The sequence below is a fragment of the Homo sapiens genome, chromosome 7 (assembly GCF_000001405.40).
Source record: "Homo sapiens chromosome 7, GRCh38.p14 Primary Assembly".
Classification (NCBI taxonomy): Eukaryota; Metazoa; Chordata; class Mammalia; order Primates; family Hominidae; genus Homo; species Homo sapiens.
The window spans coordinates 156,514,707-156,532,368 of NC_000007.14; the positions used below are offsets into that span (position 1 = coordinate 156,514,707).

General features: G+C 45.5%; 2 long non-coding RNA genes across 3 annotated transcripts in view; one reads left to right on the plus strand and one right to left on the minus strand.

Annotated features, from left to right (window-relative positions):
- RNF32-DT (RNF32 divergent transcript) overlaps positions 1–17,662 on the minus strand; it is a 168,437-nt gene that overhangs the window by 42,608 nt on the left and 108,167 nt on the right. The window lies entirely within an intron of this gene.
- On the plus strand, positions 8,920–10,604 carry LOC112268012 (uncharacterized). The gene is made up of 3 exons (XR_002956590.2): positions 8,920–9,157; positions 9,936–10,075; positions 10,191–10,604. It is a non-coding gene; the product is annotated as an uncharacterized LOC112268012 (long non-coding RNA).

The following is a 17,662-nucleotide window of genomic DNA, read 5'->3' on the forward strand; positions in this document are numbered from 1 at the left end:
GACCTTCCAGAGCTTGGAGCAGCGTTTCCCTCCTTCGAACATCAAGAACAACCTGTACTTACTGTGTTGCTCCTCACTGCGCACCGCGTGCCATGGTTATTTGTGTTGATGTGTTGGATTTCCCTTGCAGAGGGGTTGCTCAAGTAATTATTGTCGTAATCCACATAACACTATCACATGACTTTGCAGACAGAAGACACTTAATAAGTATTTGTGAACAAGCTTTTGGGGATGCCAGCTGCGTTACCTCCTTCCTTCAGTGTGCTTTTCCATCCTCCCAAAGTGCAGAGTATTTCATGTCTCTCCTAGTCCCACATATTCTAATAGCTCAGAGCTGAGGACTTTCGACTTCTAACAAGATTAGAAGGGCCTCGAAGTGCAGAGCAGGGCTTTCATGTGTGGCCCTGCTAACTCCCAGTGCCAGTCTTCAAGATGAAATAGACATATTGCATCGAGTGAAACGGTTGTTATGCTCGCCTCAAACAAGCAGGACACAGATGAAAAAGAGAATACAGAAGCTATTTTCCTAGCCATGCCAAATCTCTCCACTGTGCCTCTCTTATGTCAATTTCATTTCAGTTTGAACCCCAGATGTTTTCCCAAAATTAACACTTTTTTGTTTCTATTACATTGGCTTTCCCAAGAAATCATTCACAGGGCATTATTTTTACTAATAATTTAAAGGAAAAAATTAACTTGCCCAAATTCTTGGGTGGGACAGTAAGGTTTGGAAAATTGAAAAGTGAGTTTGACAGTTTGATTCCTTCAGGCTACCGATGCTCTCTAAGGGGCCTTATAATTATTAAAGCTTATTCTTCCCCCACAAAAGCCACCAAGAACAGTGTGAATCACAGGCCTGGGAAGTCAGTGGCAGTTTGGGGTTTCCTGAGTCCCTGAGGGAGAGGAGCCCTTCCCAGAACAAACCAGCGGGGTCCAGAGCTACGTCAGATGAGGGAAGGCAACAGAAACTCCATAATGCGCGAAGAGTCAGACAGGATCAAAGTAAGAGTGTTCTCTTGCATCCGAGAGACACTTCCCCCAGACCCCTAGGGAAGGAGAGCTGGGAATTCACACTCCATCCCACAGTCGGTATTCCCACAGGCTGCTGTGTGGGCCTCTCGCAGCTGGGGACACAAGTTCTGGAGGCCATCGTCTGGCTCACATCCTGGCTCCTGTACTTCCCATCTGTATAACCTCAGGAAGGAACTCGGTCTTGACTCAGTTTCCCTCTAAGAAATGGGGACAATGACCGTGCTTAACCCCACTGGGCGGCTGTAAGACATGCAACCATCTTAGACCAGTGCCCGACACAAAGTTGGCACTCCATAAACGCCACATGCTAATGCTGCCATTACTACTGTTCATGCTCACATTAGTGCTTGCCATTCTCACTGCACTGTATAGGCTCACCCAGCCTCATCGGGACCTTTGGCACCAGCAGGAGGTTCCACGCAGACAATGCCAGGCACAGCTGCAGGCAGCACCCACACTGGAGCGGCCCATGGGGCTTTTTCTATGAAGATTCTGCTGCCCAGACCTGGAGAGGCCGGAGAAGCCGAACCCCACCAAGAACGCTGTTTTCACAAAAGCCGTTTGCCTTCACACTGGGTGGCAGCACATGACACTAACTCATTCAAGGTCAGAGCGACCAGACTCTCAACCCTTATTTTCGTTTGCTTGTTCGGCTTTTTTTTTTTTTTTTTTGCATTCCATTTTGTTGACATTTCTGTTGGACATGACCTTAGGTTGACTATCATTTCAGTCACTCACGACACTGAGCGTCTAAAGTCCACAGTCCTTTTTTAAACCGTTTCTACTCATTCACTTGCCTTACAACTCCACAGCCCGCCCCAGGGCTCTCCAACCAAAACCCTTCCTGGCCCCCTCCATCCTAACAAAGCCTGAGTCGAACACGAAAGGAAGATGGTCGCTGAAGCGAAGGGGAGTCATTTGTGTCCGTTCCATAAATCAAGACTGTCGCCTTTCGAAAAGGGGAGGTGTCGCAGTCTGACAGCCTGATCTGTTTCTAGGACGGCGTGTTTCCAGGAAATTCTGAGCACATATATATGCAGGGAGCAGTCATCGTTTTCCTCCTGTCCAGCCTTCTGCCTCCTGCTCCTCCTCTAGCTGCCTCCCTTGTTTCCAGGCTGGAGGTTCAATCCCTCTTCACCATCCCTGCTGAGGGAGGCTGTGTAGCAGGCTGTGTACGGGAGGCATGTGAGAGAGGCTATGTATGGGAGGTTCATGAGGGAGACTGTGTGAGGGAGGCTGGGTGAAGGAGGCTGTCATGGAGGCTGTGTGAGGGAGGCTGTCTGGGAGGCATATGAGGGAGGCTGTGTGGGAGGCTGTTTGGGAGGCTTTGTGGTAGGCTGTGTGAGGGAAGCTGCATCAGGGAGGCTATGTTGGGGAGGCTGTGTCGGGGAGGCTGTGAGGGAAGCTGTGTGAGGGAGACTATGTGAAGGAGGCTGTCATGAAGGTTGTGTGAGGGAGGCTGTGTGAGGGAGGCATGTGAGGGAGGCTGTGTGGGAGGCTTTCTGGTAGGCTGTGTGAGGGAAGCTGCATCAGGGAGGCTGTGCTGGGGAGGCTGTGAGGGAGGCTGTGTGAGGGAGACTATGTGAAGGAGGCTGTCATGTAGGTTGTGTGAGGGAGGCTGTGTGAGGCAGGCTGTTTCAGGGGGGCTGTCAGGGAGGCTGTGTGAGGGAGGCTGTGTGGGAGGCTGTGAAGGAGGCTGTGTGAGGGACGCATGTGAGGGAAGCCCGTGAGGGAGGCTGTGTGAGGTAGGCTATGAGGGAGGCTGTGTGAGGGAGGCTGTGTGAGGGAGGCTGTGAAGGAGGCTGTGTGAGGTAGGCTATGTGAAGGAGGCATGTGAGAGAGGCTGTGTACCAGAGGCCCATGAGGGAGGCCATGTGGGAGACTTTGTGAGGGAAGCCCGTGAGGGAGGCTGTGTGAAGGAGGCTGTGTGAGGGAGGCTGTGTGAGGGAGGCTGTGTGAAGGAGGCTGTGTGAGGGAGGCTGTGTGAGGGAGGCTGTGTGGGAGGCTGTGTGAAGGAGGCTATGTGAAGGAGGCATGTGAGAGAGGCTGTGTACCAGAGGCCCATGAGGGAGGCCATGTGGGAGACTTTGTGAGGGAAGCCCGTGAGGGAGGCTGTGTGAAGGAGGCTATGCGAGGGAGGCTGTGTGAGGGAGGCTGTGTGAAGGAGGCTGTGTGAGGGAGGCTGTGTGAGGGAGGCTGTGTGAAGGAGGCTGTGTGAGGGAGGCATGTGAGAGAGGCTGTGTACCAGAGGCCCATGAGGGAGGCCATGTGGGAGACTTTGTGAGGAAGGCCCGTGAGGAAGGCTGTGTGAGGGAGGCTGTGTGAGGGAGGCATGTGAGGGGGGCGTGTAAGGGAAGCTGTGTATTGCAGGCCCATGAGGGAGGCTGTGTGGGAGACTGTACGAGTGAGGCTGTGTGAGGGAGGCTCACCAACAAGCACACCTCTGACGGATTCTGCCTGTGGGGCAGGCAGGAGGCCATGTCCTTGTGATGGCCGCAGTCACCACGTTCATGGCGGTGCTATTCACAATGGCCACATGTCTGTCAGCAGAGGAACACACAGGCAAATGGTGGCTCTCCACACCATCCATCTCAGACATCAATAACAGAATATTTTATGAATGTAATGGCCTGGTGGACACCCCAGAGGGACTTCAGAGCCATAATGAGCTCTTGGATTAAAATGACCAGGAAAAATGAACTTCAGATGAAATACTTGTTGTAGTTGAGTAAATTAACAAAATTTAATTAACTTTCAATACACAATGACACCGAACAATATCAAAAATATACACTAAGATGATGAGAAAGATAAAAGCCTCTGTGCATATTTGAAATGGCCACAACCTCTCTGACCCACACCTCATCTACCCGCACGTGCTCCATCCCCACCTCTGGAGTATGGGCAGGGCCTGTGACTGCTGGGCCGACATGAGGAGACAGAAGTGATGGCCCAGGTCTGGGCCCAGGCATTAGCATGACGGCAGCGTCCACCTCCTTCTCACAGAATCCTTGCTCTAAGGGAGGCCAGACACCATGTGAGGCCCTTGGCCACCCAGAAACCACCATGTGAGGAGAAGCCCCTGCCAGCCAAGTGGACAGGCTGTCTGGAGGGAGCGAAGTCCCTGGCCAGCCCCAACTCTTCCAGCCACCCCACCCTAGAGGACAGAGAAGCAACTGACAAAGCTTCTAAGACGTTCCAGCACCCGAAGCTGCAACTCAAGAGGAACCAAGAGCCAACAGGCATGAGCGAGGCTCCACAAGTGACCCCAGTGAAGCCACCCCTGACCCATCCGGCTACTTGAGCCGCCCCAGCAACCACAGGGCAGACACCAACCAGCCCTGCTGCACCTGCCTGGACACCTGGACGCCTGGACGCCTGGATGCCTGGCTCACAGCACCGTGAGCATGATAGGTTTGTCGTTTGATGCCACTGGTGTTGGGGTTATGACACAACAAGAGAAAACCAGAACAGATTAAATCTGGGCTACAGAGTTTCTACATAGAGGGGCTGAGCGGCAGCCATCCATTTGCAAGAGGAGACGAAGGCAATGAGTTAGGATTCGGATGGGCGTGGTAGGCCCGCTGTTTTTCGGATGTGCATGGTAGACCCTCTGTTTTGCCTACATGGCAGGCATTCACCGTCCTTGTGCAGGGATGACGGTGGCCAGTGGAGATCAAGGGAGGTGTCAAATCTCCCCAACATAAATGTTCTTTGAGAAGACAGATGGTTGGTAAATGCAAAGCTAATTGCTCGTCAGGTTCCTGGCTTTTTATGTATGAGGTTCCCTTTGTTTCTCTTTCTCTGCTTGTTTTCCTGTTTGCTTTTGGCCCGTTACTGAAAAACAGATTGCTAAGTAATAAGCAGAAGAACATAAATATGTCTAATATTTTTCTTACAAATATTTTTTAATCATCTCACTTGCATAGTTACTTTCCCAAAACACCTGTTAGCCTCTCACAGATCACTCCCCTCTGTGAAGCATGGTTTGGGAAATGCTGCACTTAAGTGGTCAGAGAAATTAAAGAGCCAGTAAGAAAGACATGGAGTGCTCCAGAGAGATGATGCTTAATGAGGAAGAAACTCAGAAATGCTTCAGAGAACAAAACCAAGGAGGATGTCACAGGAAGAACCAGGAGAACAGCACAGTAAGGACCAGAAAAATATCACAGTGAGGCCCTGGGGGACATCACACTTGAGACCTTGGAAGAAAACATAGTAAGGGCCTACAAGGACATCACAGTAAGCCCAGGAGGACATCATAGCAAGGACCTAGGAGGATGTCATAGCAAGGACCTAGGAGGACGTCATAGCAAGGACCTAGGAGGACGTCATATCAAGGACCTAGGAGGACATCATAGCAAGGACCTTGAGGATGTCATAGCAAGGACCTAGGAGGATGTCATAGCAAGGACCTAGGAGGATGTCATAGAAAGGACCTAGGAGGATATCATAGAAAGGACCTAGGAGGATGTCATAGCAAGGACCTAGGAGGACATCATAGCAAGGACCTTGAGGATGTCACAGCAAGGACCTAGGAGGATGTCAAAGAAAGGACCTAGGAGGACATCATAGAAAGGACCTAGGAGGATGTCATAGCAAAGACCTGGGAGGACGTCATAGCAAGGACCTAGGAGGATGTCAAAGGACCAAGGAGGATGTCATAGAAAGGACCTAAGAGGATGTCATAGCAAAGACCTGGGAGGACGTCATAGCAAGGACCTAGGAGGACGTCATAGCAAGGACCTAGGAGGATGTCAAAGAAAGGACCAAGGAGGATGTCATAGAAAGGACCTAAGAGGATGTCATAGCAAAGACCTGGGAGGACGTCATAGCAAGGACCTAGGAGGACGTCATAGCAAGGACCTAGGAGGATGTCATAGAAAGGACCTAGGAGGACGTCATAGCAAGGACCTAGGAGGATGCAACAGTAAGGTCCTAAAAGGACAATGTGGTAAGGACTAGGAGAACATTGTAGGAAGGACTTACGCAGCAAAGAGTATGATGAGAAAAGAACAAAACAACAAACACATCACAATTAAGCACTATTGATCACTTAGTTCATGTCAGTGAACTATGTAAGCCCATTCCATACACCACTTCAAGGGACAATCATGGAATAACATTCCCAATTTACAGATAAGGCAAGGAAGACTTAGAGTATGGTTACACTTTAGTCTAGGCCCATAGGCCCCTCCTAACCTTCAAGCCCCGGTGCTGAAGAAGGGGAAGGGGAGTGGCAGGAGGGGCTGATTTTCCAAAACAAAATGTGTGTGTGTGACAATTCTCTCTGGATCTATAGAAAACATAAAGGGATGAGACAGGAGGATAAGGGTGCCTCCGGTGTGGCCTGCAAAGATGAGCTCCGACATAAATCACACAGTTTGGGGGAAGAGAGCACTTAAGTATCCTAATGCCAACAATGTGGGGAAAAGTGTCAATGCATTTGCTATTTACATTAATAATGTCCACTGATAAATTTCCTAGTGTTGTCACAAAGAAAAGGATGTTTCTACAAATTTATCTTATTAGATTTCCATCGTAAATGCAAGCTTTACCCCTTTTTTCTCCTTCCCCATCTCATTTGTGCTTTGAATTATTCGAAATGTGTTCCATTATACTAACTTTTTTTTAATCTGATGCCTTCGCGGGCCTCTTTGCTTTCCATATTGAGTAGAAGTATTTTTAGCCTCCTAATGCTATTGATTTCATTACTTTTAATTTAATGATCTGTACTTGACATTTTTTGACCTTATGTTCAAAACCAAAATCTTCATTTCTTCACCTTAAAAAAAAAAAAAATCATAGCAGAGTTTTCTTTGATTATTGGCCAAATCATGTGACTGACGAAAAACCAGATGTCAGACACAAAGCTACTAAATATCAAATAGGTTATCAAACAGGAGGAAAATGCAAAGATATGAAGGTTAATGCAATCCTATCTTTAGACAAACTCATTTTTCCCACCCTAGAGACAAAAATGTCAATCTAATAGTAGAAATACATCAAGAGTGTTTATTATCTGCCTGATCCTAGGGCTATATATAAAAGTAATTCTGTGACCTTGTAAAGTATCTTGACAACAGTAAATCATTATGTTAGGAAGTAGAACTGCATTCTGTGTTGTTAATTATTGTATCCATTCAAGACAGCTTATCAAGAAATAGAGACAGAAACTCAAATAAAGCCTATGGGTCCCTCATGGGATGTCTATTTACCACGCACCTAAAGTTGTTAAGTTCGTGCCTTCTTGATGTAATATCAAACATGCCTTATCCTTTCGGCAGCACTAACTTTCAAAGAAACCAACAACCATAAAGATTTTTTAAAGTATTTTTTTATCTCTAGAAATAAAGATGAGGAGAGTCCACAAACAAATTCATTACTTTAGAAAAGACTTTCAAATAAAAATCTTTCCAGGAGTAGTAATTGCTATAAAGGTCAAGAAACTACATTGTGGGAAATTAGTAAATATGCAAAATATTGATTGAAGAAAATTGCATCAAATCTCCCAAGAATGTATTAAATCCTGGTAGAGTTTGAGTAACAATGACTGCTTTTCTACAATTATATTTGCAGAAAGTTAGAATTTCTAAGACGTGAAAATGACACCTTGCCATCAGTTTGCTTTTTATTTTCAAAGTGCTTCCTCATGAAACAGGTGGTAATTGTATTAATAAAATTTAAACGATTAATATTGTAGCGTGCTTGGAACAATATATGGCATATGGTAAGTGCTCGATAAATGTTAGTTATTTACATGTATCTTTAAAATTTCAAATCCCTTCAAACATATTATCTCATTTGACCGTCAGGCGACCTCTCTGGGTTGGTGAAGTACTGGATGCATCCTTTTCACCCACATTTCTTAGTGTCTCTTCTGTGCCAGACCCATGAGACATCACCCTGAGCAGTGGTCTCCTGAAAGATGACTGTGCAAAGAAACAATCACAGAAATAATGCAGCAAATGAAAGGCTTATTCTAGGAGGGGAAAGGGGATTCCTGTGACGGGCGACTGGTGAGGGCCCTTTCAATGACGACGCCATCTTCAAACAGACACAGAGCGAGCCGTAAGCACAGCAGGCAGCATCACGGGATGCCGAGCTTTTAATGACGCCTTGTGTTGCACAGTGCGTGTGCCACGAGCTATGACATCTGCATTTTTGGGCCCTCCTTGGTGGGAGGGGGACCCATGGGTGGCCTAAGAGCAGAAATAATGCCTGGTGCTACGGAAGCAGGCTGTGGGCAGGCGGGCCCTGACACGCCATCAGCATTTCTTGGCATCACGACTTGCGTCTGAGGACCAGGTAGACATGGAACTTTGCAAATGAGGCGGCCCCGCTGATCCAGGGGCACAGGTCCTGCAAGACCTTGACAGATGTCTCCAGGATTTGTGTCCTCTCCGCCAGAAGGCAGAATGTCCAATTTATAACTGTAACCCGGACCCCCGCAAATACACATTCCAGTGCCAAAATGAATAAAGCTGAATGTAAGCGTTTTTATTTTTTCTATGACCAGAAAATGCTCACCACTTTTTCCCTATCCAGTTTTAGAGGCGATAAATGCCGTGCAGTTTCTAGGACTTGATTCTATAGTGCCGTGTACTTCCTATTAATTAGTTCATTTATATTTGTCCTGCTCAGGCTAAATCATAAATAGTCATAAGAATCATAATATCCTCGGATAGCACCAGGCACTGTACTCAGCATAGACTTGAAGCTTAATTAACTCGAGCAAATTGGATGGAGAGCAGAGGAAAATGAGAAAGATGTGAAAATGATGGGAGAGAAGACAAGAAGCTCCAGCCTCCTCCTGAAAGCTGGAGCAGGAGAGACGGCAGGAAACACAGGCTCGAGACGGAAGGCGGAAGGCGGAAGGCGGAAGGCGGAACTCAACCCAGGAGCCTCCCGCCGGAAGTTGTGCGATTTCTTTAATCAGAGTGGCTTCCCACAAATGTATTTCCTGCCTGATCCCGCTGTCTGTGTCCTTGCAGTGTGAGTGGCAGAATCCCTTGAAGAAGACCGAGCCAGTGACCTCGTTTCTGAAATAAAAGGCGGGAAGTGAGGGAGCCAGTGGTCACCGGGCAGCCAACCCAGAAGGAAAAATCTCCAAGAGTGGGAACAGGTGAGGGTAGTGTTAAGGAACAGAGAGCAGGCCACATGCACTTCACGACGCCGTCAGCAATGACAGTGACAACGTGTACTGTGCTGACCACACTCCATCGGGAACACAGGGCAACCTCCCTTGGTGGAAGGTGTCTACCGGGTCACACTCCCAAGCCCAAACAGGCGACCGGGGATTCTCTCTGCTCGATTCTCCGCAACTCACCTCTACAGGAAGAACTTACATGGAGATATTCTGTGTTCTGGCAGAGCGCGGTGGCACACGCCTGTAACCCCAACACTTTGGGAGGCCGAGACAGGAGGATCGCTTGAGCCCAGGAGTTTGAGATCAGCCTGGGCAACATGGCAAAACCCTGCCTCTACAAAAAAATATATATATATGAAAATTGCTGTGCATAGTGGCAGGCATCTGTGGTCCCAGCTACTTGGGAGGCTGAGGTCAGAGGATCACTTGAGCCCAGAAGGTTGAGGATGCAGTGAGCCATGATCACACCACTGCACACCAGCCTGGGCAACAGAGCAAGACCCTGTCTCCAAAAAAACATATTCTTTAGCAGATGCTCCTTGGTTCATATTTCTTGGCTAACATATAATGTTCTTTTCATCTTTATTAGGGCTGGGATACCACTGAGTTCTCCTTATAGAGAATGTAGAATTCAAATAAGCAAGTATTTCAACTAAACATAATTTGGGGGGCCTCCATTTTTATTAGAAAGAGGTTAGCCTCTGCTCAGCAAAGTGTGTTACCTATTGCATTTTTGTTTTTCTTTCTATCCGAGTTAATCATCATCATCATGATAATTAGCATTTACCAAGTACGTTTGCCACATCTCGAGCTGCGAGCTGCCTGTGCCCATCTCATGGAGCCCTGGAGTTTTTATTCTCCCCACCTTCTATTCAGGCAAACTGAGGCTTCGAGGTTTGTCCCATTTATTTCCTTAGTGCCCAAGGGAGGACTCTATCCCCATTGGCCAGCCCACCCCAAGCATACTTGGTTTGGGCGAACTCACAGACAAAATGAAATTTGCTTCCAGAATCATGACCCAGGCAAACTGCAAGATTCTCGGTAACACGAGAAAGACAGGACTTTGCTCACTGGCTAGTGTTTCCTATCACAAAAATAACAGCAGAGTTCATACTTCTGACAAAGTTTTACAACTAAGGAAGAAAAAAAATCAGGTTCCTGGTTGGTCACCCCTCGGCTCCAGCAGATGTAGGGGCTGGAGCACTCCCTGTGTTTGGTTCAACAAGGCTGACGTCGGGCTCGTGTGCTGGGACTGGACTCCGCCGTCAGCTCCTTAGGACCTGGCAGCTTCTCCTCTTGGCTTTTTGTAAAAATTAGAGTAATTTAAATCTCCAATATGTTGTGGTAATCCATGAGTTTTTAAAGATGATTACACTAGTTTACTAGTTAAACCTTTACATTAAAAACTGTGTTTCCAGCTAAAGGAAGTTTTAATAGTTTCCTTTATTAATTTCTTTATTAATAAAAGGTCTAGTTATTAATAACTTCCTTTATTAATTTCTTTATTAATAAAGGGTCTAGTTATTAATAACTTCCTTTATTAATAACTAGATCCATTGCTCTTTTCCCCTCGAAATTCTGACTCCTAAGAACAAAGTAAGTATTATTCTAATTACCCGCTGTTGCTCTCAATTGCCATGTGGCAGGCCACACAAGTGGATTTTCAATTCACAGGCTGTTTGCTGATGCTAATTTTGTGTCCCAATTTCATCTCCATAGAATATTAATAATTCCATTTATGTTTCAGAATAGCTTTATAATTCTATTTTTTAGAAGCCCTAATATTACATATACTTTTGCAAAATCTAAACAAGAGATTGAAAGATGGTATAACTTAACTTTCTAGGAACTTTCTTGTCAGCACCATAAGAAAGGTAAAAAAATAAAAATAAAATGGAAATGCAGCTTACCTTGAAGTTATGGGGAAGACATAAGTACTAGGAAGGATACTCAGTGTATAAGAAAATCAGAAAAAGAATTATGAGGCTGGGCATGGTGGCTCACGCCTGTAATCCCAGCACTTTGGGAGGCCGAGGCAGGTGGATCACCTGAGGTCAGGAGTTCGAGACCAGCCTGACCAACATGGTGAAACCCCATCTCTACTAAAAATACAAAATTAGCTGGTATGGTAGAACATGACTGTAATCCCAGCTACTCGGGAGGCTGAGGCAGAAGAATCGCTTGAACCCCGGAGGCAGAGGTTGCAGTGAGCTGAGATCACACCATTGCACTCCAGCCTGGGCAACAAGAGCAAAACTCTGTCTCAAAAAAAAAAAGATTCCCCAATCCAGCCACCCACACGATGTTTGAAGATGATATAGTAGCATAATTTCGGAGGCCATACAAGAAGTTTAGATTTTAGATCTTCACAACAAACTTTAATTCCAATTTTGGTTTTAAGTTAAGTGCCTACCCTGGGCCAGGCACTTACAGGGGCCCAAGTACACATTGACGTCTAAAACAGGACACAATCCCAGCACTTTGGGAGGCTGAGGCGGGCGGATCACCTGAGGTCGGGAGTTCAAGACCAGCCTGACCAACATGGAGAAACCCCTTCTCTACTAAAAATACAAAAATTAGCCAGGTGTGGTGGCGGGCATCTGTAATCCCAGCTACTCAGGAGGCTGAAGCAGGAGAATTGCTTGAACCTGGGAGGTGGAGGTTGCAGTGAGCCGAGATTGCACCACTGCACTCTAGCCTGGGTGACAGAGTGAGACTCCATCTCAAAAAAAAAAAAAAGAAAAGAAAAGAAAAAGAATTATGAGGGAGATAAGCTAGAATCATTATCATTAACCTTGGATTATGCTAAAAATAGACTTCTTAAAGGGACTTTACAGATCATTCCGTCCAACAATTTTGAAAGTAAGCGTCATGAGACACTAGACTCCACAAATGTCAAAGGATACCATAGTCACTCACTCACTCACTCACTCACTCACTCACTCAAGAGAGGTCAGGGATCAACAAGCAAATAATTTTGAAAAATTCTGAGCTTAACCAAATTATACAGGTTTCTCTATTTCAGGACATTTAAAGACATTGTGATTCTCCAAGAGGAAGATAAAATGTTTGGCGTTTCCCAAGTCTATCTGATCATGAGACTCTTTTTCCACGAAACATCTTACAGGCTAATGTTGCAAAGAAGACATTTGGGAACCACTCCTCAGATCTGCTCCTTTACATTGAGAGTGAGGAAATAGGGACCAGGGATAATCGGCGGTCCCAGGATTGAAACTCAGGTCTCCACCTTCCCCCTCATCCTCCATGAATAGTCCACCTTCCTGAGTCCATTTGGCTCCCCTCTACTTTGTAATTAGCTCAGCCATGCTTGGCATAGCCCCTTTCAGGCTACAATCCAGTGCCACACATGTACTCAGTAAGTAAGAAAACTCTTCTTTTCATTTTCAAATAATGAAAACAGCTCATGTTCGCTGGGCATCTACTATGTGCCAGGCACTATACTAAACATTTCACCCACATTATCTCATTTAATGATCTCAACAAGCTACGAGAGGGGCCCTATTGTTATCCCCATTTCCCATTTGAGGAAATGGAGCCTTAAGATTGCTGGGCAGTTAGAAAGCTGTGGACAATACTCAAACCCAATCCAAGCACTCAGTCCCCACACACAAATGTGCGGCTGTCTCTCCCACTTAGTGCTCAGTAAATGTTAATGATGACAGATGGTGAGTGACACAGGATAAAATAACAGGAAGAGGTGTTGCAAAACAGGGAAAAGATTGGCCACAGCTTAGAGACTGTCTTGGTTTTCCATTTAAGTGTGCTGTTGGGCCGAGCTAATCATTAAAAGACCTTGGTCTTATCCTGAATCTTGCATTTCTACCTGGCCGGGCTGCTCTTCCTCTGAAACTCTGCCAGTGGGAGGGTTCCACAGAGACTTTGGTCTCCTGTCCTTAATGCCTCTGATTTTTAAACTGAGGTCAAATTCTTCAAGGAAGTAAAGATTGCAAAATATTTCCCAGAAGAACGGTGATGACAGAAGCCAGGTGCCTTATGCCACATTTTGTCATTAAAAAGCCTTAGGTTTTTCTTTTAAGGATGACACTAATCAAAATTACTTATGAGATTGGAGTTCCTCTCCCATTCTTTGCTCACTATTCAAAAATGAAAAGAAGGGCTTTCTCACTTACTGAGCAATACTTATGAGCTGTAACTAGCACATACTCATATCAGCATGGAGACTTTCTGGGACATAAAAAGTGCATATGGAACTACCTCTTGCCTTTTGGGGGCTGATAGTTCATTTGCAGAGATACGACACCCTGAACATTTAAAAAATGCAGAATTTGAGGTGTGCCAGATTTCATAAGGTAAACTTTTATGGTAAATGTCACATTTCTGAGTTAAAGTGAAGAACTTGTGTTCAAGTTGGGGAGACCATTGTGGGCTAGTGTGATTGGAGGCTTTCTCTTGATGGAAGCAAAACTGGAGAAGCTCTAGAAGGATGAACCTGAACAAAAGTGTTGAGGTGCTCTGTCACCACCCTTCAGACCCAGATGGTTTGTTCAGGGTAACAGGAATCAGACCATGCTGTGAGCCAACATCCATGAAGCTGTGGTTTTTTTCCTTGGCTTCCATTTTTGTGCCCCTCCAGCATGGGGGATCATTTTCTGTGAAGCAATGTGTGGGCTACCTGAGTCCCCCAACACACAGGCAGCTCTTCAACATATATCATCTCCATTGCAGTGACAGCTAGTGTGAGAAGTTCCACTTTCTTTATCACTAAGAAAAATGATGAGTTCATGTCCTTTGTAGGGACATGGATGAAGCTGGAAACCATCATTCTCAGCAAACTATCACAAGGACAAAAAACCAAACACCGCATGTTCTCACTCATAGGTGGGAATTGAACAATGAGAACACATGGACACAGGAAGGGGAACATCACACACCGGGGCCGGTCGTGGGGTGTGGGGAGGGGGGAGGGATAGCATTTGGAGATATACCTAATGTTAAATGACGAGTTAATGGGTGCAGCACACCAACATGGTACATGTATACATATGTAACTAACCTGCACGTTGTGCACATGTACCCTAAAACTTAAAGTATAATAATAAAAAAAAAGAAATCTCATCTTCAAATAAAAATAATCCCTGAAGTTAGAATAGTACTTTCTGTCTGCCAAAGGGATTCCATATCTGTTTTTTCATATTTGCACGAAATTCCTCTAAGACAGGAAACACAAACATTATTATCACCATTTAGCAAGTAACAGGAAAAAAATGAGGCCCAGTGAATTTGTCCAAAGTCACAATACCAGACACAGAATCGAAACAAAAATGAATGATCAATCAACCCCAGGGTGCAATGGGCAAAATGTGAATATAGACTGAGTATGGGATGGCAATTGGGAATTTTGTTTGATGTATGTATTAGTCCATTCTCATGCTGCTAATAAAGACATGCAAGACTGGGCAATTTGTGAAGGAAAGATGTCTAATTGACTCACGGTTCAGCATGGCTGGGAGGCCTCAGGAAACTTACAATCATGATGGAAGGGGAAGCAAACACATCCTTCTTCACACGGCAGCAGCAAGGAGAAGTACAGAGCGAAGGGGGAAAAGCCCCTTATAAAACCATCAGACCTCATGAGAACTCATTCACTATCATGAGAACAGCATGAGGGTATCCACCACCGTGATTCGATTACCTCCCACCAGGTCCCTCCCATGACATGGGAGGATTATGGGAACTACAATTCAAGATGACATTTGGGTAGGGACACAAAGCAAACCATATCAGTGTGATAGTGGCATTGTGTTTACCTTGGAAGGCTTCCTGATTTTGGAAAGGTAAATGCTGCAGCTCTATAGGACCAGGTGCCGTGACATCTATAACATCCTTAATTCATCTTAGATGCTTCAGCAAAAATGCCACGGCAACAAGTTGCCAACTACTAAGGTATGCAGCAGCTAGACATGGGTTTCCACTGTCCTATTCCTCTTTTTTACCCTTGAACCCATTCATGTAGAAGAAAAAGATAAAACAGTCCATCCATGATGTTTGGCACACAGCCACAGGTACCAGGATGTGTCAATGATGGGAGAAGACCCTGAGCTCTGCTGCAACTAATTGTGTATGCAAGAGTGGCAAGAGGAGATGTGCACACACCTTAATTTCTTAAATTATTAATAATGAAGGAGGAACTAAGAGCAATTCCGCTTGAGTCCAGATATGCAGAGTCTCCTTGCTGATCAGTCTCTAAATTGCATCAGCCACTGCCTTTGAGGGAGCAACAGCTTCAAGCCAGACAAAGGCCTGCCCTTGAGAATGACATTTCAGAAAGCCCTCAGAAGGCTCCAAGGCAAATAGCGCCGTCCACAAGCAACGGCCACTGGCCAGCCTTGTCCCCAGCTGCAGCCTCAGCCTGGTCTTCTTGTTGCATACTTTCATTTTTAGCCTCAGATTGACCCGCAGCCTCCACAGCTGTCCCTCCACTCCAGCTCCCCCACCACACAATCTGCTTCAAGGTGCTACCAGTCGCCCACCTCCTGACCAAGCCGAGCCGGGCCCCTTGTTTTGGCTTCCTATCTCCCTCCTAGCTTGCACCAATTCAACCTTGTTACCTGGCTCATGAAAAGGACTAACTGGAAAATTCCATGCTACACAGGCTGAAAGGGCTGGAATATATTCTAGGAAATTAATTTCATGGACAGTTTAAAATTCTGCTATTTATTTCAGACATACTCAGCAAGTTTATTTTGACATGACATTATTGCATACTGAAAACAAAAAGTGAAAACATATGCATGTACATGTATGTGTTTGCAAAGTGTGCATTCATGTTTAGTACATGCTAGGCAGTAGATGCTGTGTAAAGTGTGTATATAGCGCAAGCTGCGTGTGTGCATTTGTGTGTTAAGGGCCATGTTTTTCTCCTCACAATAACTAGATTGATGTGTTTGAGATAATAACCTGAAACGTTAGGATTAGAAGTATTTTGCTTACTTATAATGTAGTGACAGATAAAGAGACCCATTGCCCTATTTTTTACTGGTTTAAAATGAAAAATACATTTATAAACCTATATATGGTTCTATTTTTAAATAGTAATTTAAAATGGCTATAATAAATGACCTCAGATTGATTTTTCACAAAATGTGGTTAAGTACAAGTCCATATTATGTGCTGCCTGATGTGAGTTAGTCACTAAAAAATACCAAGTTTAAAAATACTAAGCCCCACAGAGGCCTCTGGCTGTAATGTTCACTGTATGTTACTAGTGCCAGATATATCATAGATAGTTGTTGGATAAATGATTAAATGAACCAATCTGAGTAACTCCCAAAGATGGCATATATCCAGGGACCATGTGACATGCCATGCTCCCTGTTAGCTGGCTCCTGTAAGATAATGCATCCATTTGCTAGAACTGCCATAATGAAGTTCCATAGACTGGGCTCTCAAACAACAGAAATTTATTTTCTCACAGTTCTGGAGGCTGGAAGTCCAAGATCAAAGTCTCAGTGGGCTGGTTCCTTCCAAGCCTCCTTCTTTGGCTTGTAGGTGGCCGTCCTCTCCCTGTGTCCTCCCATAGTCATCCTTGTGCATGTCTGTGTCCTAATCTCCTCTTCTTATAAGGACACCCGTCAGATTGGATTAGGGCCCATCCCAGTGACTTCACTTTAACTTAGTTATCTTTGTAGAGACCCGTCTCCAAACACAGTCACCTTCTGAAGTCCTGGGGATCAGGACTTCAACATATGAATTTTATGGGGCCATGACTGAGCCCATAACAGGTGAATATGGACAAATTGAACACATCTCCATTTAGAGAGGTAAACAGAGACACAGTTCTGGATTCTTGGAGTAAGGTTTGAACCACATACAGGTACAGGAATAGTTAACTATTCATCAGATTAATAATGAAAGTGGAAAAACAGAAAAGAATTTATTAATTGTTGTAAATGCAGCCTGCTCTGCCTTGGATGAATTGGGCCGTGTAACCACCAAGGCCTATAAGAGGACCAATATGGCGAGATGTGGAAACAGATTCCGCTATGCCAGTGCAGCAGCAGGGGCCTGTGTGGGAAGGTGAGAGATCAGAGACTGGGGCCTACTTAGATAGGGGGTCTCGGCTGAGAAATGAAAGGGTTTCTATAGAAAACTGTATGATCCGTGGTTAGCATCTCCATGGTTTTTTATGTGTGCTCCTTACTTCCACAGGGAGCCCATATCCTTCCCAGTGAGCAGAAGTCTCTTCTCTTTTATCTCCACTTTATCTGCATCTGACTCTGTGAACTTCTTTATCTTTCTGTATTAGCCACCTCAGGCTGCCACAATGAAGTAGCCCAGACCAAGTGGATGACACAGCAGATGTTTACTTTCTCACAGTCCTGGGGGCTGGAAGTCCAAGTGCCAGGGTGGTTCCTGGTGAGGGCTCTTCTCCTGGTTTGCAGATGGCCACCTTCTTGCTGTGTCTTCACCTGGCAGAGAGAGTTCTGATGTTTCCTTTTG